General features: G+C 59.6%; 2 protein-coding genes across 6 annotated transcripts in view, besides 4 other annotated features; both read left to right on the plus strand.

Annotated features, from left to right (window-relative positions):
• The window catches only part of HTT (huntingtin), a 169,280-nt gene extending 157,295 nt beyond the window's left edge, over positions 1-11,985 (plus strand). The window contains 7 exon segments of one of the 2 annotated variants that reach the window (NM_002111.8): positions 1,188-1,378; positions 3,309-3,423; positions 3,590-3,803; positions 4,174-4,279; positions 6,472-6,634; positions 6,843-7,003; positions 7,871-11,985. In NM_002111.8, coding sequence (NP_002102.4) covers positions 1,188-1,378; positions 3,309-3,423; positions 3,590-3,803; positions 4,174-4,279; positions 6,472-6,634; positions 6,843-7,003; positions 7,871-8,084 — 1,164 coding nt within the window. In that variant the 3' untranslated portion in view covers positions 8,085-11,985. 2 annotated transcript variants of the gene reach the window in all.
• Positions 5,592-6,251: an enhancer, noted in NCBI's record as "OCT4-NANOG-H3K27ac-H3K4me1 hESC enhancer chr4:3239294-3239953 (GRCh37/hg19 assembly coordinates)". NCBI's record gives its function as "activates a minimal SCP1, AML or CMV promoter by ChIP-STARR-seq in naive H9 embryonic stem cells {active_cell/tissue: H9 hESC(naive)}" and the evidence as "EXISTENCE:reporter gene assay evidence [ECO:0000049][PMID:30033119]".
• Positions 6,252-6,910: an enhancer, noted in NCBI's record as "OCT4-NANOG-H3K4me1 hESC enhancer chr4:3239954-3240612 (GRCh37/hg19 assembly coordinates)". NCBI's record gives its function as "activates a minimal SCP1, AML or CMV promoter by ChIP-STARR-seq in naive H9 embryonic stem cells {active_cell/tissue: H9 hESC(naive)}" and the evidence as "EXISTENCE:reporter gene assay evidence [ECO:0000049][PMID:30033119]".
• On the plus strand, positions 12,298-24,638 carry MSANTD1 (Myb/SANT DNA binding domain containing 1). 4 transcript variants are annotated; one of them, NM_001330620.2, is made up of 6 exons: positions 12,394-12,749; positions 13,027-13,448; positions 14,615-14,695; positions 17,303-17,567; positions 21,232-21,507; positions 23,750-24,638. In NM_001330620.2, exons 3-6 carry the CDS (start codon positions 14,680-14,682, stop codon positions 23,988-23,990), a joined length of 798 nt encoding a protein of 265 aa, NP_001317549.1. In that variant the 5' UTR covers positions 12,394-12,749; positions 13,027-13,448; positions 14,615-14,679; the 3' UTR covers positions 23,991-24,638. The 4 variants fall into 4 exon arrangements, with proteins under 4 accessions (XP_047271611.1, NP_001317549.1, NP_001036155.1 ...); XM_047415655.1 differs by lacking the exon at positions 21,232-21,507 and having other exon boundaries at positions 12,298-14,695; NM_001042690.2 differs by lacking the exons at positions 12,394-12,749; positions 13,027-13,448; positions 14,615-14,695 and having other exon boundaries at positions 17,184-17,567.
• Positions 14,562-14,737: a silencer, noted in NCBI's record as "fragment chr4:3248264-3248439 (GRCh37/hg19 assembly coordinates)". NCBI's record gives its function as "represses an EF-1alpha promoter that drives an FKBP-Casp9 reporter gene in an ReSE screen in HepG2 liver carcinoma cells {active_cell/tissue: HepG2}" and the evidence as "EXISTENCE:reporter gene assay evidence [ECO:0000049][PMID:32094911]".
• Positions 18,702-19,598: an enhancer, noted in NCBI's record as "H3K27ac-H3K4me1 hESC enhancer chr4:3252404-3253300 (GRCh37/hg19 assembly coordinates)". NCBI's record gives its function as "activates a minimal SCP1, AML or CMV promoter by ChIP-STARR-seq in naive H9 embryonic stem cells {active_cell/tissue: H9 hESC(naive)}" and the evidence as "EXISTENCE:reporter gene assay evidence [ECO:0000049][PMID:30033119]".
• Positions 24,639-25,549: the final 911 nt, after the last annotated feature.

Genomic DNA, 25,549 nt, shown 5'->3' on the forward strand with positions numbered 1-25,549 from the left:
GTGAAGGTTTTCAGCGCGTCATGCTTGGTACCCACGTATCCAGAGCATGTCGTTTTGAGGTATTTGCCCACCGTTGTGAAATCCGTGCCACCCGAGAGCAGGTCCTGATGTGGGGCTTTCAGAAGTGGGACCTGGGGCCGTACGCAGTCCTTAGGGAGGGGCCGTGTGGCGTTGTGCGTGTGAGGGGATAGCACAGGGTGAGGTGGGGGCCCAAGAAGGAAGTGACCCACAAAGAACAGCCTCCTCTTTTGGTCCTTGTTCCTGGGATGGCTGGGAGTGGCTTCTGTGTCGTCCGGCCATTTCCCCTGCGGAGAGGCTCCTACCACTGCCGAGAACCTCATCATTCCACAAAAACAAGAGGCCGCCTGGCCATCCAGCGCTCCATGGGAATTCTGTGTCCCCATAGTCTTGGGCTGAAGGAGGGTGACATTCCTTGCTGACTTCTGCAGGGGTCTCCTCACTGTTAAAGAGCAGATTGAAAGTGAAGAACGTGGGCTAAGTGTTTAGGTCGATATTTAACCCTGCTAGGTTTTGGATACTAAGTGAAATTGAGGCCATTTTGGTTGAAGTTGACAGAAACCACTATCAGGGATCCCCAAGACTACCCCAGGCTTTTCTAGAAAGACTCTCAGCTAAGATGTGTTATGGTAAAAGCACACAAAACAAAATCAGCAAAGAAAATTAGCAAGGGCAGAGGCCCATGGGGCGATGTCCCGAGGACACCAGGCTTGAGCTTCCAGAATCCTCTCCCAGCGGGGTCGTGCAGGACGCACTTAACTCCCCGCACAGTGAGCCGTGACAGCGCGTGTGCAGTGTCGTCGCCAGGAAAGCACACTAGAGACTCGGTGCCAGGGTTTTTACTGGGGGCTGGGCACATGGGCACCCTCTGCCTGCCTCGTGCCCAGACTCTGGACTCCCGGAGGGAAGGCAAGTTCTCAGCACCAACCCTGGTGCCCACACAAGCAGCTGAGCACAGGGAGCCCCTCCTCAGTGAGGATGGTGGGCACCGTCCCAACACCAGCCAGGGGCCAGCCTTGCACACAGGCCTCTCAGGATGGTCTCCGGCCTGCTGTGTAGTCTCTTCTGCACACAAGCGTGAGGGCAGCGCCCCCGCCTCGGCTGTGGGGAGGAGCCACTGGGACGTGAGCTCTGGTGGCATGCAGCAGCTTTTGTCTGTGTGTGCCTAGGACAAGGCCGTGGCGGAGCCTGTCAGCCGCCTGCTGGAGAGCACGCTCAGGAGCAGCCACCTGCCCAGCAGGGTTGGAGCCCTGCACGGCGTCCTCTATGTGCTGGAGTGCGACCTGCTGGACGACACTGCCAAGCAGCTCATCCCGGTCATCAGCGACTATCTCCTCTCCAACCTGAAAGGGATCGCCCAGTGAGTGGGAGCCTGGCTGGGGCTGGGGCGGGGGTCTCAGAATGAGCTGTGAAGGAAGCAGCATCACCCTCTCCAAGTGCCCAGGCTCCTGGCCAGATGGCAGGCCAGGTATCAGTGGGAACCCAGGTGGGTGCCATGGCTGAGGTCAGTGAGACGCAAGAGCACAGGTGCGTCCTAGAGGCTTCCTCGGGCACCTCCAGCGAGCTGGAGCTCTCGCCTCTGCTGCTGTCTCATGTGGCGCTTAGCACACTCTCCCACGTGCCCATTCCTGACTCTGCTCTCGAGGCCATCGGCTCTCATTCTCTGCTCCCAGAACCCTGTTATTACCCAGGCTAGCCTCCTCTCTGCACCTTCCCCGCCCTGGCCCAGTACCTCCCTCTTGTTTCCACTGTGATTCCGACCTCACCTTATCTTAAAGCTGCTGGACGGCAGGTTCTGTACACACGTGTCCTTGACAAAGCACGGCTGGTGCCGCAACCCCTCAGCGAGCAAGTCAAGCTCTTCACAGCGATGTCTTACAAGCGCAGAGGGCTCTGTGACACCCTGGTCTCACCGCCACTCTTCCAAAGTCGCAGAGGCTTTAGCAGAGATGGGCCCAGCCTCTCTGAGTCATAGGCTTCTGCACACGGGAGCTGTCTTTAGAGGGAGGGTGGAATTTCATCAGCCACCCACATGGGGGAGTTGAGGGCAAGAATTAGGAGCAAAGATGGGAAGGGGTCTGGGAGGAATGGCCAGTGATCCCCTTTGACAAGTGGGCAGGAAACGGGGGCTAGGTCAAAGTTGAGTGGAAGACCTGGAGGGAGACGGGAAGGTCTCTGTAGGCACAGTTCAGACAGGAGGGAGGTGTGAGCCAGGGCACATGCCGGTGGCCGTCTGGCAGGATTTGGGACATGCTGGAGCAGGGACAGCGGCTCATCAGGGGCCATTGCCCTCATCCAGGCCAGAGTGTCACAAGCCCGTGGGGAGGCCCTTCTCGCCTGTCATCCTTGCTGGGCAGTGGGTGCTGTGCTAGCAGGACAGGCGGACGGCTGGCAACTGTCTCTGCATCCCTGGAGCCTGGCATAGGGCCAAGTCACACGGGGCACAGGCCTGCAAATCAGGCACATATGTTGGTGCAGTGACGTGATTTTGGGGGGCAGCCCCAGAACAGGCCCCAGACACAGGCCAAAGCCCTGCCTGTGCTGGTGTGTTGGGCTGTTCTATGGCTCTTGCTGTGGGCATGGAGGACTCAGGGAAGGAGAGTTGAGGTGGTCCAGGAGTTGCGTTTGGGATGCAGAGAGCTTGTGGCATCCAGGTAGAAATGGTGCGTGGGGCTGACCTCAGCACCATGGGCAGAGGGGCCGTGTCACGTGCCTCCGAGGTGGAGGTGGGACCACGTGGTGACAGATATACGCATCACTGGGCACGTTTTTGTGGGTGTTGGGGGGCATCGTATTGGCTCCTCTGTTCACAGTGGCCACTCATTCAGTCCCTGGCTACCAGGTCCTCACTGTGCCATGGGGAAGGCCGGCGCTGTCGGGGGATCACAGAAGGCAGCACGTCATGATGGCATGTGCCATGAAGGAAAAGCACAGGGCACTCAGGAAGTAGAGGGGACTGGCCTGGGGTGTGGGAATCTAGGGCCTCGTTGAGGGACAGAGAGAGGAAGTGTGTGGTGGCCAGCATGGAGGTGGCCACAGGGGAGGCTGAGTTAGGCCGAGAGGGCAGGGCGTTGGGGAGGTAGACGGGCTCAGCCACTCAGGGAGTGGTCAAGCAGAGGCTGAAGGGTCAGGCCAGGTTGCAGGGGCCTGGGGGAGCCACTCAGGGTAGGCGCTCCCGGGAGCCCGCCTGGCCCATAGCTCTACACTCCCGCGTGGGGCCGGACATGCTGTGAAGCCCTCTCCACGTTGGATGGGGGTGGCTGAGCCTGGATGCTGTCTCCCGTTTTCAGCTGCGTGAACATTCACAGCCAGCAGCACGTACTGGTCATGTGTGCCACTGCGTTTTACCTCATTGAGAACTATCCTCTGGACGTAGGGCCGGAATTTTCAGCATCAATAATACAGGTGAGTGGGCCCTGGCTGTCTTCCTCTGCACACGGGGAGTGGGCTTCCCTTCTCTTTTCCTTGCAGGATCATACCAGTGGGCCAGTTTTGACTTGGTCGGGAGGAGGCATGAACACCTGAGACTGTGCAGCGATTCTTTGACACAGAGGCCTTTCTCCCTGTGCAGATGTGTGGGGTGATGCTGTCTGGAAGTGAGGAGTCCACCCCCTCCATCATTTACCACTGTGCCCTCAGAGGCCTGGAGCGCCTCCTGCTCTCTGAGCAGCTCTCCCGCCTGGATGCAGAATCGCTGGTCAAGCTGAGTGTGGACAGAGTGAACGTGCACAGCCCGCACCGGGCCATGGCGGCTCTGGGCCTGATGCTCACCTGCATGTACACAGGTGAGCATGTACACGGTGCCCATAAGGCCAGCCCAAGTCCTGTTCAAGGGAGGCAGGAGCATGCTCACTCAAGGGACCTCGACTAGGTGCCCTCTGATTTCACACTTCTGGTGTTGCCCCAAGCCGGCCCCATCACCTTGCAAGAAAGGCTCTGGAGCCCCCAGGGCTGGAGTACCTGGTCAGGGTTGACCGTCCCTGTGGTCACTCATCCCATGTGGCTGAGCTGGGCTGGGTCCTGGGCAAGCAAGGGGCTGATATCACCTGCTTTCAGATCTCCAGGGACTCACTGGACCCCTGTGTACAAAGCACTGTCTACAGAGCCTATTGGGTTGTATAGAGGTAACCTTCGTACTGAACACTTTTGTTACAGGAAAGGAGAAAGTCAGTCCGGGTAGAACTTCAGACCCTAATCCTGCAGCCCCCGACAGCGAGTCAGTGATTGTTGCTATGGAGCGGGTATCTGTTCTTTTTGATAGGTAAGAAGCGAAGCCCCATCCCTCAGCCGTTAGCTTCCCTAGAACTTTGGCCTGAAGCTGTGCTTTTGTGTGTGTCTGCTGATCCCCTGGCGCTGTTGCTGGAGTCCTGCCAGTGATTCCCCACCACAGCCTGACCATGGGCTGCCTTGGCTCAGGGTTCCACTGGCGAGCTGGTGGTCCTTGGACCCCAGCACTCAGGTGTAGCGTTGACCAGTTCCAAGGTTGTCCCAGTGCCTGCCCATCTCTCCTGAGGGCTCAGGGACAGTACCTGGCAGTTGGGGGTGTGGCAGGGGGCAGGAATGACCAGCCTCTGGGAGGGTGGGGCAGAAGCCTGTACAGTGAGGAGGAGCTGGCTCAGCCTGGCTGCCTATCGTGAGAGGGGAGCCCACGGGGCTGTGGGAGGGGGGCCGTGGTGCCTGTGAGCAGGGTGAGGAGCAGCGGCAGGAGGATGAAGGTGGAACCCACACATGCATCTTTGAGACCCGTGTGGTCAGTGGCTTCTGCCCCCCACCACCCCCCACTGCTGTGCGTGCATAGAATTGGCTTCCCTCACCTGCTCTGGAAGTGGGTTAGGAGCTTGGTAGGGCTTTTTCTCAAGGACAAGGGCCCCTGATTTGCTCTCAGGCCTCAGTCCTGGCGACATGGTGGATCTGGAGCCTTGTTGCACTGCCTTGCCTGTGCTCTCCAATCAGGGTGGCCAGTGGGGAGCCATTTGGCTTTTCTCAAGAGCATACTCAGGTGGACCTTGCTCCACTGTTTGACCAGATGAGGCATTCTGAACAGCCAAGCCTGTGCTGGTCTGTTTTCATGTTGATTTTTTTTTTTCTTTTCTTTTTGAGATGGAGTTTTTCCCTTGTCACCCAGGCTGGAGTGCAATGGTGTGATCTCGGCTCACTGCAACCTCCGCCTCCCGGGTTCAAGTGATTCTCCTGCCTCAGCCTCCCTAGTAGCTGGGATTACAGGCACACACCACCATGCCCAGCTAATTTTTGTGTTTTTAGTAGAGACGGGGTTTCACCGTGTTGGCTGGGCTGGTCTCGAACTCCTGAACTCAAGTGATCCACCCTCCTTGGCCTCCCAAAGTGCTGGGATTGCAGGCGTGAGCCACTGCGCCCGGCCCCCATGTCGATTTTTAAATGCACCTCTGCATCGTTCTTCAGTCCCCATATGCTCACTGAGCACCACTGCGACTGGCAGACGGGCACAGGGAGGCGCCACGACCAGTCCTGGCCTTCAAGGGGCTTGTGGTCTAGTGGGCCCAATGCTAGGTGGCGAGTGCTCCAAAGAGTGTGGTGCACGCCTTCCGCTTGACCGCTCTCCAGACGCCACAGGGAGGCACCTCGCAGCTGACCACAGATTTCTCTCTGTGGAGCAGTGTCTTCAGAGCGGCTGCCATGCCACTGCTGGGCGAGGGTCTGCGGGCGGGTAGAGCCAGGAGCACCTGTGAGGAAGTGCACTGCCATTTTCGTAGCTGCTTCCCGTGTGTCTCAGTTACACACGGCTGGCATGTGTGCACTGATGAGACGGGAACGTGATGGTTGCTTTTCAGCACTGAAAGGGATACTGCTCAGGGGGCGTGTTTCAGGATCTGGTTAGGGAAGAAGCAGCGAGAGCACAGATGGGGCCCTGTGTGGTAACAAGAAAAAAGTCCTGGTTGACAACAGTGCCACGAAGCGTTAGAACACATAGGGATGTTTGTGGAGCATTTGCATGTGGAAAGCAGCAAAAACATAATGGGAACGGGTTCTTTTGTTATGATTTTTAAAAATCTCTTTTGTAACATCCTTCCCGCTGCGCCGTTTCTGCATATTCCTTTATGTAGCTTTCAAACTCCTCTTAGGAGTTCTGGTCCCTACAGGGCGTGGGAGCCCAGGCTTTACGTAGCTTTCAAACTCCTCTTAGGAGTTCTGGTCCCTACAGGGTGTGGGAGCCCAGGGCCTGTGCCGAGCAGCCTGCCTCCACGAGCTAGACAGAGGAAGGGCTGGGGTTTTGCCTTTTTAGTCTCAAAATTCGTACTCCAGTTGCTTAGGCTCTGACTTTCCCCACTTGGAAAGTCCCTCACGGCCGAGGGTCCCTCCCAGCCCTGATTTCACATCGGCATTTTCCCCAGTATTAGAGCCAAGGCCCTCCGCGGGCAGGTGGGGCAGCTGTGGGAGCTGGTGCCAGTCTCTGACCTGCGTCCCTCCTCCCAGGATCAGGAAAGGCTTTCCTTGTGAAGCCAGAGTGGTGGCCAGGATCCTGCCCCAGTTTCTAGACGACTTCTTCCCACCCCAGGACATCATGAACAAAGTCATCGGAGAGTTTCTGTCCAACCAGCAGCCATACCCCCAGTTCATGGCCACCGTGGTGTATAAGGTGAGGTTGCATGTGGGATGGGGATGGAGTGGGAAAGCCTGGAGGTGGAGTTGCCTCCGACTTCCCAGCAGATTCGCCAGCAGAGCCCAGCTCCTCCGCTTTAAAGCAGCAATGCCTCTGGCCCCCACCCCACCCCCGCCACCCAGGCGCAGCAGGTGCTTCCCGTCCCCCCAGCCCTGACACTCAGGCACCTGCTTGCTCCTTGCAGGTGTTTCAGACTCTGCACAGCACCGGGCAGTCGTCCATGGTCCGGGACTGGGTCATGCTGTCCCTCTCCAACTTCACGCAGAGGGCCCCGGTCGCCATGGCCACGTGGAGCCTCTCCTGCTTCTTTGTCAGCGCGTCCACCAGCCCGTGGGTCGCGGCGATGTATCCTCTCTGGGTCCCTGGTGCTGGCCCCGTTTCCCTTGTCAACACCGAGGCTCATGTTTCATGATAAGGTTTTGAAACCTAACCTTTGCAAAAACCCCACAGATGCCAGGGTGACAGGCCCTCAGCCCCAGGGAAGTAAAATGCTGACAGGGGTACAGAAAGGAGCACGTCCAGACATTTGCTGACCAGGGCCTCTCAGAGGGGCCGGTGTATGGCAGGAGGGTCGCAGCTGAGGGGCCTTTCTGTGGAGGGCCTGGGTGAGGGGAGCGAGGGTGGGCGGTGGTCTCTGCAGACGTCCCGCCCACTCGCGGGCTCTGTGTGGCTGGGCTTCTCCTGACACTGCTTCTCATTAGCTTTGGTCATTGTGCCTCGATCGCCCTCTCGGGGAAAGGCTTAAGTAAAGATCCAGTTCCCACCCCCAGATGCTGGCTGCCAGGAGTTTCCCTTTCCACAGCCCTTCCCCAAGACAGACCACAAGAGCCTCCAAGCAGCACAGTTGTCCTGGTGCTGACAGCACAGCCTTGCCCGGCGTGCCTGGCACGGCTCTGCCCTCACTGCATTGGAGCAGGGCTAGTGGAGGCCAGCGGAAGCACCGGCCACCAGCGCTGCACAGGAGCCAGGCCAGGTGAGTGCTGCCGAGTGGGTGCCCTGCCTGCAGGGCATCCAGCCAGCCAAGGGTTGCAGGAATGGAGGTGGAGGCGCTGATGCAGCTGGAGGCATCCAGGTGGCCCTTCCGGGGCTCTGCTCGCTCTCCAGGCTCCCTGGACCCCTTTGTAGACTGTTTCAGGAGAGGAACTCCCAGGTGAGGACAGGGAGGCAGCATTCCCCTCATTTGCCGGCCTTTTTCCTTAACTCCTGCACCAGCCTCCCACATGTCATCAGCAGGATGGGCAAGCTGGAGCAGGTGGACGTGAACCTTTTCTGCCTGGTCGCCACAGACTTCTACAGACACCAGATAGAGGAGGAGCTCGACCGCAGGGCCTTCCAGTCTGTGCTTGAGGTGGTTGCAGCCCCAGGAAGCCCATATCACCGGCTGCTGACTTGTTTACGAAATGTCCACAAGGTCACCACCTGCTGAGCGCCATGGTGGGAGAGACTGTGAGGCGGCAGCTGGGGCCGGAGCCTTTGGAAGTCTGCGCCCTTGTGCCCTGCCTCCACCGAGCCAGCTTGGTCCCTATGGGCTTCCGCACATGCCGCGGGCGGCCAGGCAACGTGCGTGTCTCTGCCATGTGGCAGAAGTGCTCTTTGTGGCAGTGGCCAGGCAGGGAGTGTCTGCAGTCCTGGTGGGGCTGAGCCTGAGGCCTTCCAGAAAGCAGGAGCAGCTGTGCTGCACCCCATGTGGGTGACCAGGTCCTTTCTCCTGATAGTCACCTGCTGGTTGTTGCCAGGTTGCAGCTGCTCTTGCATCTGGGCCAGAAGTCCTCCCTCCTGCAGGCTGGCTGTTGGCCCCTCTGCTGTCCTGCAGTAGAAGGTGCCGTGAGCAGGCTTTGGGAACACTGGCCTGGGTCTCCCTGGTGGGGTGTGCATGCCACGCCCCGTGTCTGGATGCACAGATGCCATGGCCTGTGCTGGGCCAGTGGCTGGGGGTGCTAGACACCCGGCACCATTCTCCCTTCTCTCTTTTCTTCTCAGGATTTAAAATTTAATTATATCAGTAAAGAGATTAATTTTAACGTAACTCTTTCTATGCCCGTGTAAAGTATGTGAATCGCAAGGCCTGTGCTGCATGCGACAGCGTCCGGGGTGGTGGACAGGGCCCCCGGCCACGCTCCCTCTCCTGTAGCCACTGGCATAGCCCTCCTGAGCACCCGCTGACATTTCCGTTGTACATGTTCCTGTTTATGCATTCACAAGGTGACTGGGATGTAGAGAGGCGTTAGTGGGCAGGTGGCCACAGCAGGACTGAGGACAGGCCCCCATTATCCTAGGGGTGCGCTCACCTGCAGCCCCTCCTCCTCGGGCACAGACGACTGTCGTTCTCCACCCACCAGTCAGGGACAGCAGCCTCCCTGTCACTCAGCTGAGAAGGCCAGCCCTCCCTGGCTGTGAGCAGCCTCCACTGTGTCCAGAGACATGGGCCTCCCACTCCTGTTCCTTGCTAGCCCTGGGGTGGCGTCTGCCTAGGAGCTGGCTGGCAGGTGTTGGGACCTGCTGCTCCATGGATGCATGCCCTAAGAGTGTCACTGAGCTGTGTTTTGTCTGAGCCTCTCTCGGTCAACAGCAAAGCTTGGTGTCTTGGCACTGTTAGTGACAGAGCCCAGCATCCCTTCTGCCCCCGTTCCAGCTGACATCTTGCACGGTGACCCCTTTTAGTCAGGAGAGTGCAGATCTGTGCTCATCGGAGACTGCCCCACGGCCCTGTCAGAGCCGCCACTCCTATCCCCAGGCCAGGTCCCTGGACCAGCCTCCTGTTTGCAGGCCCAGAGGAGCCAAGTCATTAAAATGGAAGTGGATTCTGGATGGCCGGGCTGCTGCTGATGTAGGAGCTGGATTTGGGAGCTCTGCTTGCCGACTGGCTGTGAGACGAGGCAGGGGCTCTGCTTCCTCAGCCCTAGAGGCGAGCCAGGCAAGGTTGGCGACTGTCATGTGGCTTGGTTTGGTCATGCCCGTCGATGTTTTGGGTATTGAATGTGGTAAGTGGAGGAAATGTTGGAACTCTGTGCAGGTGCTGCCTTGAGACCCCCAAGCTTCCACCTGTCCCTCTCCTATGTGGCAGCTGGGGAGCAGCTGAGATGTGGACTTGTATGCTGCCCACATACGTGAGGGGGAGCTGAAAGGGAGCCCCTCCTCTGAGCAGCCTCTGCCAGGCCTGTATGAGGCTTTTCCCACCAGCTCCCAACAGAGGCCTCCCCCAGCCAGGACCACCTCGTCCTCGTGGCGGGGCAGCAGGAGCGGTAGAAAGGGGTCCGATGTTTGAGGAGGCCCTTAAGGGAAGCTACTGAATTATAACACGTAAGAAAATCACCATTCCGTATTGGTTGGGGGCTCCTGTTTCTCATCCTAGCTTTTTCCTGGAAAGCCCGCTAGAAGGTTTGGGAACGAGGGGAAAGTTCTCAGAACTGTTGGCTGCTCCCCACCCGCCTCCCGCCTCCCCCGCAGGTTATGTCAGCAGCTCTGAGACAGCAGTATCACAGGCCAGATGTTGTTCCTGGCTAGATGTTTACATTTGTAAGAAATAACACTGTGAATGTAAAACAGAGCCATTCCCTTGGAATGCATATCGCTGGGCTCAACATAGAGTTTGTCTTCCTCTTGTTTACGACGTGATCTAAACCAGTCCTTAGCAAGGGGCTCAGAACACCCCGCTCTGGCAGTAGGTGTCCCCCACCCCCAAAGACCTGCCTGTGTGCTCCGGAGATGAATATGAGCTCATTAGTAAAAATGACTTCACCCACGCATATACATAAAGTATCCATGCATGTGCATATAGACACATCTATAATTTTACACACACACCTCTCAAGACGGAGATGCATGGCCTCTAAGAGTGCCCGTGTCGGTTCTTCCTGGAAGTTGACTTTCCTTAGACCCGCCAGGTCAAGTTAGCCGCGTGACGGACATCCAGGCGTGGGACGTGGTCAGGGCAGGGCTCATTCATTGCCCACTAGGATCCCACTGGCGAAGATGGTCTCCATATCAGCTCTCTGCAGAAGGGAGGAAGACTTTATCATGTTCCTAAAAATCTGTGGCAAGCACCCATCGTATTATCCAAATTTTGTTGCAAATGTGATTAATTTGGTTGTCAAGTTTTGGGGGTGGGCTGTGGGGAGATTGCTTTTGTTTTCCTGCTGGTAATATCGGGAAAGATTTTAATGAAACCAGGGTAGAATTGTTTGGCAATGCACTGAAGCGTGTTTCTTTCCCAAAATGTGCCTCCCTTCCGCTGCGGGCCCAGCTGAGTCTATGTAGGTGATGTTTCCAGCTGCCAAGTGCTCTTTGTTACTGTCCACCCTCATTTCTGCCAGCGCATGTGTCCTTTCAAGGGGAAAATGTGAAGCTGAACCCCCTCCAGACACCCAGAATGTAGCATCTGAGAAGGCCCTGTGCCCTAAAGGACACCCCTCGCCCCCATCTTCATGGAGGGGGTCATTTCAGAGCCCTCGGAGCCAATGAACAGCTCCTCCTCTTGGAGCTGAGATGAGCCCCACGTGGAGCTCGGGACGGATAGTAGACAGCAATAACTCGGTGTGTGGCCGCCTGGCAGGTGGAACTTCCTCCCGTTGCGGGGTGGAGTGAGGTTAGTTCTGTGTGTCTGGTGGGTGGAGTCAGGCTTCTCTTGCTACCTGTGAGCATCCTTCCCAGCAGACATCCTCATCGGGCTTTGTCCCTCCCCCGCTTCCTCCCTCTGCGGGGAGGACCCGGGACCACAGCTGCTGGCCAGGGTAGACTTGGAGCTGTCCTCCAGAGGGGTCACGTGTAGGAGTGAGAAGAAGGAAGATCTTGAGAGCTGCTGAGGGACCTTGGAGAGCTCAGGATGGCTCAGACGAGGACACTCGCTTGCCGGGCCTGGGCCTCCTGGGAAGGAGGGAGCTGCTCAGAATGCCGCATGACAACTGAAGGCAACCTGGAAGGTTCAGGGGCCGCTCTTCCCCCATGTGCCTGTCACGCTCTGGTGCAGTCAAAGGAACGCCTTCCCCTCAGTTGTTTCTAAGAGCAGAGTCTCCCGCTGCAATCTGGGTGGTAACTGCCAGCCTTGGAGGATCGTGGCCAACGTGGACCTGCCTACGGAGGGTGGGCTCTGACCCAAGTGGGGCCTCCTTGTCCAGGTCTCACTGCTTTGCACCGTGGTCAGAGGGACTGTCAGCTGAGCTTGAGCTCCCCTGGAGCCAGCAGGGCTGTGATGGGCGAGTCCCGGAGCCCCACCCAGACCTGAATGCTTCTGAGAGCAAAGGGAAGGACTGACGAGAGATGTATATTTAATTTTTTAACTGCTGCAAACATTGTACATCCAAATTAAAGGAAAAAAATGGAAACCATCAGTTGTTGCTGTGTGAGGCTTGCTTTGCTTCATGAGAACCTAGACCTTGCTGAGCTGGAGTCTTAGGAAGCAGTCTCCTAAGTGCTTCTCCAGCAGGGGCAGAAACTGTCCCACCAGCTAACATCTGGCATTATGGAGGGTCCCCCAGGCAGCTGCCAGCAGGGACAGGCCCCGTGTTTTCTGTAGCCAGGGATGAGGAAGTGGCCCCAGGGCATGGGCCTGGCTGGGTGCTTCTGCAAGGGCCTTCCCAAACCACAGTACAGGTGGTCTTCCTGCCCTGCAGATGGGAGCTGTGGGAGCTGCTGGAGCTGCTGGAGCCTTCATGGTCAAGTGACATCATAAGCTTATATGACATACACAAGCCTCAGGACTTGGCCCATGGCACTGAAGCAGGTCATCAGGCCCAGCACAGAGACTAGAGCTGTGTTCTCACAGGGCCCACCACCCTTCCACCTCCTTGGCCATTGACACCTGCGTCCCTGGCCCAGCTGCTCCCAGGTAACCCCCAAAGCAGCTGGCACATCCCACCTCTGGTGTGGCCGGGGCTGCTGTGTGTCCGCAGGGCCTGCCCCGTCTATTCTAGCTTGTTTGTCCTGTCTGAACCAGCGCCTACTCCAAGAAGCCTCTGCTCAGCCCAGCGGGGATGCTTCTAAGCTCCGGACGAGCCTCTCGGAAGCCTTGGTGATTGGTGGTGTAGTCATCTTGGGATGCAGATGTCTTACCAACCTGCAAGAACAAAAACCCTGTGGCTTCCTCTGGTGCAGGGTATTTAGTCAATGTTTGCTGAGGTCCCGTCTGGTTCTGGCTAATTGGCAGGGGTCGTCCACCCATTCTTTCCCTGCTCTGCTGTCTGTGCCAGGAGAGACGGGGGCCAGTCGGCCAAGGGGCCAGCTCCTGCTGCCTGCTCCTCTTGGGCACGTGCGGGGGCCCCCTTTCTCTGAGCAGGGATAGGGATCAGTCTGCCGGAGGGATGTGGTGGACAGGCCTAAAGCATTTGGGGCGGGGCATGCCACTTGAGCTCCCTAAATCTGTCTCCTCATAGGTGACACCGCTCCAGGGCCCCCCAGTGGCCTCTCCTTTCAGAGCTACCTAAATTCTGGTCACTTCAGAGAAATGGAGCACCCCCTTCTCCCTGGTCCAGGTGTGGACAGCCTGGCACACTGAGCACACCTGGCATGGCTGGTAATTTCAGAAAGAAGAGGGGCCGGGGTCCAGTGGGAAGCAGCGGTGAACCCCTCGTGAGTGGGCTTTGCAGTCCCTCCCCATGCCACGGCAGAGCTGCCCTCAACACAGCCTTCCTCTTCCTCATCGGAGAGCACACCCTGTCCCCTTGCCGAGCTGTGCCCTGTGCCTTCGGTGGTATTTGATTTTGGCTGCTACTGGCTTTGTTGGGATCTGGAAGTCGCTTCCCCTGCGTGGTGCGTGGAGCACTGTAAGTCAGATGAGGGAAGTAGCCAGGGTGAGGTGAGTACCGGGTGGAGCCGCCACTGAAGGGACTGGGTAGGGGGGCCTTGCCTCTACATGATGTGACACAGCCAACCGAGGACAGAGGAAGCCCCGTTCCTGGGGGTGTGGGGTGCACCCCTCAGGGAAGCCTGCAGTGGGGCCTGAGGAAAGGCATCCTCCGCGAGCCCACGAGTCTGGTCCATGAGCACCGTGACAGTGTCTGTGGGTAGAGGTGGACCCGGCCTTGTGTCATCACCAGGACCTCTTTTGGGAAACCATGTGGACATCGCTTGCGGGTCCCCCAGGCTCTGCAGCCCCAGCAGCCTGGCTGCCTTTTGGGCAAGTGGCTTGAGCCACAGAGGACCCAGTCCTGTTGCAGCCACATCCTCTGGGGGGGCCCGCCAGTGTGGCCGGCTTTCTCCACCCTACACCAGGCCTCCAGGTGTCCTGGTCGGGGGTGTCTGGGCCCTGGGTGGGCCCTGTGGACCTGTGAGGTCAGGGTCAGGGCATCACTGGAGGCAGAGGGCTGAAGTTGTGGGTCTGGGTTCCCCTTGTGTGCACAGGCCCCTGCCCTCCATGCTTGGTCAGGCAGCTACCCCCAAAACTGCTAGGACAGGCTGGTCCTGAGGTGGATCCTGGCCCCTGTACCCTCTGGACAGCCCACCCGCCCAACCTTCTACCCTGCCCCAGCGGCGGCAGTGTTGGCCACATCCTTCCCCTCCTGGCCCCAATTGCTCTGGGGAAGTCCAGGCTCCGGAGCCTGCCCAGGGGCCCCCCGTGATTTGGGCCCAGGACTCCACGTGGTTCTCTGCCTTCACCCAAGCCCTGAACTCCTCAGCTGCCAAATCCCCACCCATCTGCACAGGCTGTGCTCACCACTGCTGCTCCTGGAAGGTGCCCCTCAGTGGGACGCCCACCTCCTCTCTGGGCTTCTGTGTTTGGGAGCCCTGCTGCCCCCACCCTTGGTCAGTCCCCATGTCCTGCTGGCCTGTCAGGCAGGGCAGAAAATCCACCCAGAAATGCTGAGCAGGATGAGAGTCTAGTTGGGCCCAGCCTCATTATTTAGAAGGGATGGAGGCCTAGGGAGCATGCTTCTAGCCTGAGCCCAGCAGGGCCCCGCCCATGTCCCAGGTCTGCACCAGGGACAGCTCCTGCCGAGGCCTGACCTGCCCCTTCTCCCTCAGGTGCTGCTGGTTGACCAGCCTCTGGCCCTAGGAGACCCCGTAGCGACTGAGGGTCCCAGCAGGCCATGCAGCTTTGCCAAGGTACGAGCCCCTCCCCAGCAGGGGACAGATGTGGGGACCCTCCCAGGCAGGAGCAGCTGGGTGCCTGGTGCTGCCATCTGCTGCCTGCCTGGTTCTTGTCCTCACATTGGAGGTCAGTGTGAGGGCTCTGCCTCGGGAAAGGCCATGGAGCTTGCCCTGTCCAGGGCCTCCCATGTGCACTGAGCCTGGGAAGAGAGGGTTGGAGTTGAGCCTTTTACCCTGGGAATGCTGCCTGGAGGATGGTGCGGGTGTGGGGTGGCACCCTGCCAGGCAGGGCCCTGCCTCCCTGCGCCCACTGGAACTCGGGCAGGCAGGGGTGTAGGTGCCTCCTCTAGAGCCGTCCGGTGGGGGCCCCCGGCAGTGGTGGTGGTGTCCACTGGCCAGCAGCTGCCCCTTCAGCCAGGACAGTAGGCCTGACGCTGTCCCCAGCAGCTCCAAGGTGGATTTGTGGAAGGGGGTAGAGGGCACGTAGAGGCCCCATGACCTCCCCAGGGTTCTGGGAGGGCTGTGCCCCCTTAGCCAGCACCATGCTGGGTGATATAGTCAGATCCTGTTACCCCTGTTGTGGAGGTGAGGAAACAGGTTAGTGGGGAGGACATGACTAAGGTCCATGCTGAGTCGCTAGAGCTGCACCCAGAACCACTGCTGGGACCCCATGCCTTTCTGCTTACCCCTTGTGCCGGGAGATGCCAAGAGATGCTGGGAGCCAGCCCCACCTCTGCCCTTGGAGTCATGGCTACGGAAAGGGCATTCGGACCGGTCCCTGACCTCACCGGGGAGGGCCGAACCCTGTTCCTGAGGAGCCAGGGCTTCCTAGAGGAGGTAGGCCTTCTAGTCACTCCTTCATCTGCAGGCACTCCACAGAGCTCTCTGTGCCAGCCCCCAGCACGGAGGGCTGACCTTAGTCGAGTGGAGATGCCCCAGTGCCAGGCAGTAGGGATGATGTCTCCTGAGGCCCAGATGGAAGGGACTGGACTAGTCTCATGGGGCTGATGGTGGGGCCAGGCCTTGACCAGGGACCCAGTGTAGGGGGTGCAGAGACCCCTCTGAGTTCCTCACACATCCCTGGGGCCCTCCCCATACACTTCCTATCCTGACTGCGGGCAAGAGGGAGCCCCAGTTCGCCTTCCCTATGCTGGGCACCCACAGTGGGGCTGGGCACCCCCGCCATGCCCCTGCCCTGTCCTTCCCCTGAGAGCCTCGGTCCCACCTCCAAGGTGCCTCAGAGGACAGCAGGGGCAGCGGGCAGAGGCCGAGATGCCTCCTCATTCCAGGCTCAGCTGCCCTTCTTGGGGCAGCCCACACCTGAGAGTCTCCTGCAGTTGGTCAGGCCTGAGGAGGGCAGGGGGGTGCCTGCTGTCCCTCTGCTGACCACAGTGGCATTTAGCCTGGGCACCGCGCCCAGCACAGTCCATGCTGCACAGGTGCCGTGGGCTCCACAGAGCCCTGCCTGACATGCATGTGTTACGTTTCGGGTGCCGATGCCCTTGGGCGGCACTTCTCCGGGCAGAACCCCCAGGCCACCGCTCCGGTTCCGGTTCCGCTGCATCTGGGGCTCTCGGCAGGCTGTGGTCCTCCGGCCAGCCTGGGGGCATCTCAGTCCCTCAGCCCCACAGGGGCCTGCCCCGCAGCCTGGGCCTCGAGCCCCGTCTCCGCACGCTGTGCCGAATCTGGCTGCCCATCAGCTCCCTGCGTACCCAGACTGTGCCCTGCCATGCCCGTGGCTCTTCCCAGGAGTGCCCTGTGGCCTCCCCCTGGCTTGCTGGGCTGATTCCCTCCTGTGTCTCAAACAGAGCTCACCTTTGCCATCACTGCTGTCCTCACCGGCCGGTGCCAGAGGCCCGTGTCTGTGTACCCTGTGTCTGCACCTCTGGGCAGGGCCTGGCTCTGACCAACCCGGGCTTCCAGTGTCCACAGACCTAAGGCCCAGGGCGCCTGGGGGCTGGAGCAAGAGAAGCAAAAGGAGCCAAGGGTGGGGGTTTGGGGTTCTTGTGAGGGCCCAGCCCCAGGACCCCAGGACCAGGACACCCAGGAGCCCCAGGGCCCAGCCCCAGTTCAGAAGGCAGGGGCCTTCTGAGGGAGCTTAAGGGTCCCACAGCCCAGGACCCCCACCAGGGCCAGTGGCCAGCGTTGGGGGACTCAGCCTCCTCGTCGCTCGTCCTCTCTGTTTCTCCCACCTTTTGCCCCCTTTCTCCTTGCCTGTTCCCACCCGAGGCCCCCTCTTGGCCTGCGTGAGCCGGGGCGGCACTGAACTGGGGGCCGATCCGCCTGGGCGGCGGTGAGAGGCAGGGCCGGGAGCCGGGCCGCTGGGTTTGGGCCTGGCCCGCTCGCCGCAATATTGATGGCCCGTCAGTGCAGCCCTGATTCCTGTGCTTTCAGTTAAAAGGTTTCTGTTGTTGTAGCTTATGCAGTTGCTCTGTTGCTATGGAAACGTGACATCAAAATGACGTTTCCCGTTTAAAAGCTTTTAACTAAATTCCTGCCTGTCAGATGTAGGCCCCATTTTGAGCGTGGAGCTGCCTTCGAGCGAGCGTGAGCGGCGCCTCCCGCCCATGGTGCGTGGGGCCGGGCCGGGGCCCTCGCTGAGCGCGCTCTCTCACCCCACAGGCGCCTCCGGCATGGCGGCGGCCGAGGGGCCCGGCTACCTCGTGTCTCCCCAGGCGGAGAAGCACCGGCGGGCCCGCAACTGGACGGACGCCGAGATGCGCGGCCTCATGCTGGTCTGGGAGGAGTTCTTCGACGAGCTCAAGCAGACCAAGCGCAACGCCAAGGTGTACGAGAAGATGGCCAGCAAGCTCTTCGAGATGACCGGCGAGCGCAGGCTGGGCGAGGAGATCAAGATCAAGATCACCAACATGACCTTCCAGTACAGGTGGGCGAGCGGGCAGTGTGGGCCCCACCAGGACGGGCGGGCCCGGGCGTGGCGGGCCGCTCCTGACTTTCTTGGAGCTCTGAGTCGGGACGATGTGTGGGTCGTGGCCTGCCTGTCGGTCTCCTCTGGCCGGGTATGGGCAGAACCCCACGGGGTGAGACGGGGCCCACGGAAACCGTGTGTGCAGCCTTCCATTGGGGAAGTGGGGAAACTGAGGCCCAGCAAGGGCAGGAAACCAGTCTAAGAGCTGAGGGGTAGCAGGGGTGGGGCTGGTGCTGGGCAGAGGCCAGGATGGCTCCCAGGACGTATGGGCGGTCTGGGCACTGTCCCTCGGAGGCAGCAACACTCATGGTGGTGCCCACTGACCTCACACCCTGCTCCCCCATAGGGAGGCGGCGGCTGCCAGTGCCCTCCCCACCACCAAGCTCCCAAGCTCAGCAGGGGTTTCAGGGGCCTACTGCGTCATTGGGGAAATTGAGACTGCAAGTGAGAAGGAGGCTCAGTGCTCTGCGACTTGGAGCATCCACTGAGCCTCTGCCATGAGCCGGTGAGCCCCACTGGGGCTGGCCCTAGGGTCACGGTGGGGTATTTCCAGAAATCACCAGGTGAGGTGCAGGACCAGCCAGCGCATGGGTGGGGCTTACGGTGCGAAGAAGAAAGAGGTGGAGGCCTGCCCTGGCCCAGGACTCCCAGCGTGGGGGCTCCCGGCCTGGCCCCACCTCTGCTCCTGCTACATGGCAGGTGGGCCCTTCCTGCCCTGGCAACCTGCAGGGAAGGCCGGAGGGGACCACCCAGCCAGGGAGATGTTGGCGTCTAGGAGGGGACAGGTGTGGTCCCACACACCCAGCATCTTAAAGTGCGTGGGTCCCCAGCCCATTAGGACAGGGTCCCGGGTGGGCAGGGGTCATGGTGGGGTGAAGGTCTCAGGCACAGGCAAGGTCACAGGTGCGGTGAGGGTCTTGCAGGGTGTGAAGGTCATAGGTGTGCGGTGAAGGTCACAGGTGTGGGGTGATGGTTTTGGGTGTGGGGAGGGTCTTGCACGGAGCGAGGGTGGCAGCAAGAGCTGGAAGCTGCAGGGGGAGAATGGCAGCAGAGAGCACCCGGCCCTGTGGGCGGCCTGGACAGGGCTGGGCCTGGGGCTGCCGGAGAGCCTGTCAGCTTCCAGGATGGGAGTGGCCTCACTCAGCTGCTCCACCTCCGGGTCAGGCAGGTGAGCCTGGGGCAGAGAGGCTGAGAGCACCTGAGCCACTTGTGGGAGAGGCCACCCCCACTGCCCCCCTCAGGCGAGGAGCCGGCCTCCAGCACAGCAGAAGGGAACCCCCAGTCCCCAGCCCTAGTGGGAGTGGGGAAGAGGCCCAGCAAGGCCCCGGACAGACCGCCAGCCTGTGAGGTCTCCGCTTTCAGTTGCGTTGATTTGATTTTTTCTGAGCCTTGAAGGAGGGGTCCGGGGCCTGGCCCTGCCCAAAGGCCCCTAGGCAGGCCCCAAAGCCGGGACCTAGGGTGCTGAGCATGACGGATGTTGGGTTTGAGCGGCTGGCTTGCGACGTGAGGGCTGAGGTGTGAGCCTGGGTATCTTCAGAGGTTCGGTGGACACAGGCAGCTGCCCGCGGCCCCACTGTTCCCGTGGCCTCCTAGTCCTGCTCAGGCACCTGGTGAGGAAGGGACGCAGAGGGCAGTGGGAGGTGGCCACGACTGTTCCAGCAGGCTCCCCTCTGACTCAGGAATTCACGGGCACCACCTCCCTGGCTGGCTCTGGTTGGTGTCTGGCCAGGTTATTCATTATTTATGCTGAAAGCCTCTTCAGAGTCCCAGGGGAGGGTTTCTGTCTCCATTCCTGGAGGCTGAGAGATGAGGGTGCAGCAGAGTGGGGGCCTCCACTCCAGACCCTGCAGTCTGGGCTGGCCAAGGGCTGCACCGGTGCACTGCACGTCATGGCTGATGAAGCACTTCCACACCGCAGCCCCTCAGAGCTGCCACAGTCAGCCTTAGTTCACCGAGGGGGAAGCTGAGGCCCAGAGCATGAGAGGGACTTGCCCAGGGCCACATAGTCCTTAGCAGAGGAAGCTGTGGCTGGGTGACTCGATCTTTGTCCTTTTTCTTTATACCCGCAGTCTCCCCATAGCAGAGGCTTTTCTTTTTTTTTTCTTTTTCTTTTTTTTTTTTTTACAAGAACTCTTTATATATTAAGGCTGTTGGGCTGAAGAAGCCTGAGAGGGTGGCTGGTTCTGTGGAGCATGGTTTGTTGAAGTACAGTTTGGGGGCCTCCTACACTGAGAATAGGCCTTTTCTCGTTTCTCCAAAGAGTGGGCTGGCTCAAGTAGGGCAGAGAGAGAAGCCTGGGGCAGAGGTTAGGGATGGGCACCCAGCGCCTGCCCTCACACGCTCTGTGCTGGTGTCTTCACAGCCACGTGCCACCCTGGGCAGCATCCCCTGCTCACCATCTGGCTGTGCCTGTTTGCTGGGGGCACCTCATTCAGAATCCAGCTTATTGTTTCCAACGGCCAATGGCCACACCCTGGCAGGTAGCAAGAGTAGGAGAGAGGAGACACCCACTCCGAGCACAGGTTGGGTTTGGAGCCCGGCCTTGGGGCACTCTGTCACTCAAAGGCAGAGTGGGGAGTGGGCACTGGGCCTTAGGAGGTACTGGGTCCAGTGAGGCAGAGATGCCCCTGCCCCACCCCCACCTTGTGGCTTCTTCCCTGGCCTGGCCAGAGCTGTCTGGCCGCCATGGGGCCCTGTGTCTCCTGCCTTGACCTCCCAGAGGGCAGCCGAGGCCCAGGGGAGGCCTGGGGACTTAGCCTCTCAGGGCAGGACCTGTCTGCAGGAGTAGGTGGGTGCTGGGGGTCCCAGTGGTAATGAGGCATCAGGCAGTGTGGGAAGGGGCCCATCCGGCCCACCCCAGGGCCTCTGGGCAGGTTGCAGGTTGTAGCGCTGGATCTAGGCTCCTGCCCAGACTGTAGGTTCAACCAAGAATGGCATGGGAGCCCAGCCTGCTGTTTGCTTTATTAAATCTGCCCTGTAGCTGGGGGAGGGGCTTACTTTGATCATCACTATGTCATTGATATAAAAATAGAGGCTCAGAGAGGTGAATGAACCTGCCCAAAGTCACACAGCAAAGTGTGGAGATGAGATACTGACTCAGGGCTGTGGACACTGAAGCCTGTGCTCTAACGCCAGTGGCTGTCGCTCCCTGAGGCATTCTCTCCCGAACAACACAGTTATTATATTACAAAATATTATCACTATATTTATATATCTTATAATACCTTATTATTACAATAAAACCTTATTACTCTACCTTTCAAAATGAATTATTTAAAAAGCAGTATTTGCTCATTGCAGAGAGTCTAGAAACTATAGAAAAGCAAGGGAAAAGCAATAGGACCAGCCCCAAGGTCCCAGCATGCACAGATAACCTTAGTAATACTGGGACGTGTGCTTCCTTTTTAACATCTGAGCCCGTGTAGGTCCTGAAGCCCAGCTTCTTTCTAAGTCCATTGTCATCTTGACCCTGGAGCCTGGCCGATTTTGCTGGGGAGGCCCTTGCCAGCCGAGAGCGGCTCCTGCCTGTGCCGGCGTGGCGCGCCCCTCTGCTGAGGCTGGGCAGGACAGGGGCTGGGCCAGCTCTGTTTCTCACCCTTGGCTCTTGTGTCTCTCGTTTCAGGAAATTAAAATGCATGACAGATAGCGAGTCCGCCCCGCCCGACTGGCCCTATTACCTAGCCATTGATGGGATTCTGGCCAAGGTCCCCGAGTCCTGTGATGGCAAACTGCCGGACAGCCAGCCGCCGGGGCCCTCCACGTCCCAGACCGAGGCGTCCCTGTCGCCGCCCGCTAAGTCCACCCCTCTGTACTTCCCGTATAACCAGTGCTCCTACGAAGGCCGCTTCGAGGATGATCGCTCCGACAGCTCCTCCAGCTTACTGTCCCTTAAGTTCAGGTAGTGTGTCTGCTTGTCCTTCCCCTGCCCTGGGGTATCTCAGCCCCCACCATTTAGAGAAAGGGACTGGGAGTGGCAAGGCCGGCGGCGGCGGCCACAGTGGTTGCAGAGGCCGTGGCTGCGGGCAGCGCCTCCAGGGACAGGCGGCCTCAGACCAGGGAGGGCTTTAGTGTCCACAGGCAGACCGAGTTTGTCTCCCAGCTCCATCACTTTTGAGCTGCACGGAAAGTTCCTTGACTTCTCTGGCCTCAGTCTCCCTCCTATAAAATGGGGGTAAATCAGTACCTTTCTCAGAGGGTGGCTGGGAGCATCACAGGAGAGAAGACGCAGCATGGGGCCCGGCACACGGAGGGAGACCAAGCCCCAGACCCCAGAATGCGCCCCCTGGCCTCCCTTAGCCCACACAGACCCCACCCTCACAGGCTAGCTGCCCTCTCAGCACTGGGGAGGGTGTCGGGCTGCACCTCATCACGTGTTGCCGTGGGCATGACCCGTCCCCTCTGCCATCCATCCCACACCTCAGACCCGTCCCGTGCTGGCCACGTGACTGTGCCTGCAAGATGCTCACAGGGCAGCCGGGAGCCAGGCAGCATGCAGGACAGACACCTGCGGGGTGGGCCTGGGGAGCCCAGAGAAGGTGCTTTTGAGGAGGGGACATTTGGGGTGGGCTTTCAAGGTAAAATAGAAGTTGGCCATTTGGAGGCAAGAACAGGAAGATTGTGGATTTGAGTCACAGCTTCTCCCCTGCCCTGGTCTTCAAGTCTTTCTGACAGGAGGTGTCAGAAAAGTATCTTTAGTAGAGAAGGCGTCTCCGAGGAGGGTCCCTCTCATGCCGGGGGCCGCTGCTTGACTCAGGATTTCTCATTGAAGACCTGAGACAAAAACGCTTTTGCTGGCAGCTAGAAGGAACCAGCAGGAGGCCTGAGATTTGTGGCTGTTGTTCCCGTGGACTGAGCCCAGTTCTCAGACTCAGCTGCCTGGGGCCTTGCACAGGACTGGGGCGTGGGGGCTGCCCTCCCTGATCAGGCCCAAAGCGCGGATCTCACGCCCCTGAGGTTGGCTGTACCCTCTCAGCTCAGAGCAGAGTGTGGGCCAGGGATGAGCAGGCACTGGAGCAGGGCCCTGGGGTCTGTGGGTTTTGGCAGCTCCCTGCCCTTCAGGGAGGTCTGCTGAGACCACGGGTGGCCCCTACCCCAGCAGCAGAGCTCTCAGGAGGCGCCCACAGGGCTGGACTGCCTTTACTCACCACCTCTACCAGAGCTCTGAGGTCCTGGGGAGAGAGCCCAGGCCTCTTGTGGGCCCCACACCCTCTAGGTGCCTGTCCTTCTGCCTCTCTACCAAGGTGTGCCGGCCCCATTTCTAGGCCGCCGGGAGATAAGGGGGCTCACATCTCAGGCCCTTCCTTCTGGGACCTCAGTTTCCCCATCTGCCTAAGGCCGGGTGGGGCTGGTGGTCTTGGCTTCCCTACAGGGGTCCTGAGTACTCTGCACTACCCAGCACCCCCCACCCCTGCCTTCATCTCTCCCTGGGGGTGGTCTCTCCACCCCTGGCCCCCAACTGGGGCTGAGCCCCCACCTGCCCAGTTTGGTGGGTGAAGGGTGCTCCCTGGCAGGATATGCCCCTCTGCAGCCCAGAACATCCCACCCTTTCCAGACCGAAGGGGTGTGGATTGTCCTGGGACCCTGGTCATTGGGGTCATCCGCTAGTCGCAAAGGACGGCAATGCCTGTGGCCTCTCTTTCTTTCTTTTTCTTTTTTTTTTTTTTTGAGACGGAGTCTCGCTCTTGTGCAGAGAGCAGTGGCGCGATCTTGGCTCACTGCAACCTCCGCCTCGTGGGTTCAAGCGATTCTCCTGCCTCAGCCTCCCGAGTAGCTGGGATTACAGGCACCCGCCACAACGCCTGGCTAATTTTTGTATTTTTAGTAGAGATGGGGTTTCACCATGTTGGCCAGGCTGGTCTTGAACTCCTGACCTCAGGTGATCCACCTGCCTCTGCCTCCCAAAGTGCTGGGATTACAGGCATAAGCCTCCACACCCGGCCACCCCTGTTACTTTCTGTCAAAGGCGGTGGGTTCTGGCCCCTCCTTTGCACATGGAATATGAGACCCTGAGTAAGTGACCTGACTCCCTGGGGCCTCAGTTTCCCCATTTGCCCAGTAGGATTGTCGGGAGGGTCCGGTGAGGCCCCTGGTGTGCCCAGGCTCTGTGGCCAGCACGTCCACAGCCGGCACTGTCCTTCCAGGTCGGAGGAGCGGCCGGTGAAGAAGCGCAAGGTGCAGAGCTGCCACCTGCAGAAGAAGCAGCTGCGGCTGCTGGAGGCCATGGTGGAGGAGCAGCGCCGGCTGAGCCGCGCCGTGGAGGAGACCTGCCGCGAGGTGCGCCGCGTGCTGGACCAGCAGCACATCCTGCAGGTGCAGAGCCTGCAGCTGCAGGAGCGCATGATGAGTCTGCTGGAGAGGATCATCACCAAGTCCAGCGTCTAGGCCAGCAGGCGGCGGCGGCGGCGGGGCCGGGCGGCTGGTGGTACTGCTCAGGCCACCCAGGGCAGGCCACTCAGGCCAGGCGGGCAAGGGGGCCGCCCCGCGAGCGGAGACCGCCTTCCACCTGGCCTCTGGCAGGATGTCCCTTCTGAGGGGTATTTTGAGGAACCCCCAGGCCCTGGGGACCGTGAGGCTCCAGTCTCCAGCATGAATGCCCTTCCTCGGACACAGGCCAGGGCCTCTGGGGTTCACTCCGAGTAAGAACGTCCTAGAGCCACTCTCCAGTGTCGTTACTATCAATGATACTTGACGTGGCTTTGATATTAAACGTATACTTTTTCATTCTTGCCTGGAACGCACAGTTTGCTGTTGCTGGCTTGGTGAGGATGCCCTGATTGATGGATCCCGAAAATGAAAGCAGATGGAAACGGGTTGGGGCAGGCTGGAGCTGGGGGAGCTCTCTCCTGAAGGGAACCCTGTGTCCTCCCTCACCAGGACCTCTGCGTCTCTCCTTAAATGGCCTCTGACGCCTGATGAAAACCCCAGCGACCTTCCAGGAGGCTTTTATTCAGCTCTGTTTGGAGCATCAGGTGTTTCCACTGCCTCCTTAGCAATGACACTAATAAAAGTCGTAACACCTGTTCACATGCACAGCCCTGTTGAGTGTTCTGGGTGCTGGAGATATCATGGTGGATGACACAAAGGCCCTGGCCTCTTGGAGCTTATGCTCCCATGCGGGGAAGACACATGGGTCAGTAGAGAAATGGTTGCAGGTTGTGATAAGTGCTGGAAGGGAGGGGTTGGCCTGAGGACACGGAGGCAGACATACGTGGAGCTGGGAACAGTGGCCACACAGGGAACGGCCAGTGCGAAGGCCCAGAGGCAGAGGACACTGGAGCAAGCCCAGGAGCAGCTAGGAGGCTGGTGGCCAGCAGCCAGGCCACGGAAGCCCGTGCAGCCCGTGGGGAGGAGTGTTCATGCTTTTCAAGCTTAGTGGGAGTCTTTTGGCCAGTGCAGCTCTGGGTCTGACATCGGTGGGGGACAGAGGGGTGGTGGAGCGGCCACAGCTGCAAGCTCACCTCACTGCCGGCCCTTCCACCAGTTTCAAACTCTTTCTAGAAGCTCCAGCTTTCCCAAAGCTGAATTCTCTATGAGCCTCCTTGGCCGGGACTCGGGCGTCTGGTTGCCCTGGCTGCAAAGGAGGCTGGGGCCAGGTGTGTTTGAGTCACCTCCTGGAATTAGGCAAGTTGCTGCCCAAATAGAAGGTTGTTGGCAGGTGGGTCAGCAGGTGAACAGCATGGTTTGACTCAGGGTTCAGAAAAATCTCCCTCTGGCTGCCAAGCGAGCAGGCCGTGGAGACAGGTGCAGAGGCAGGTGTGGCAGCAGGCATCCTGCCAGGCAGTGCTGCAGTCATCCTGCGACAAGCAGCAGCAGCTCATCCTACCCTCTAGGGGGTCTTGAGGTCAGCCAGGCAAGAGAGCAGCTTGGACTCCACTGGGTGTGGGACCAGCCTGTGGACCATGGTGGTGTGGAGGGTGCCCTCGGCCTGCCTGTGTGAAGGA

Source organism: Homo sapiens, chromosome 4, assembly GCF_000001405.40.
Source record: "Homo sapiens chromosome 4, GRCh38.p14 Primary Assembly".
Classification (NCBI taxonomy): Eukaryota; Metazoa; Chordata; class Mammalia; order Primates; family Hominidae; genus Homo; species Homo sapiens.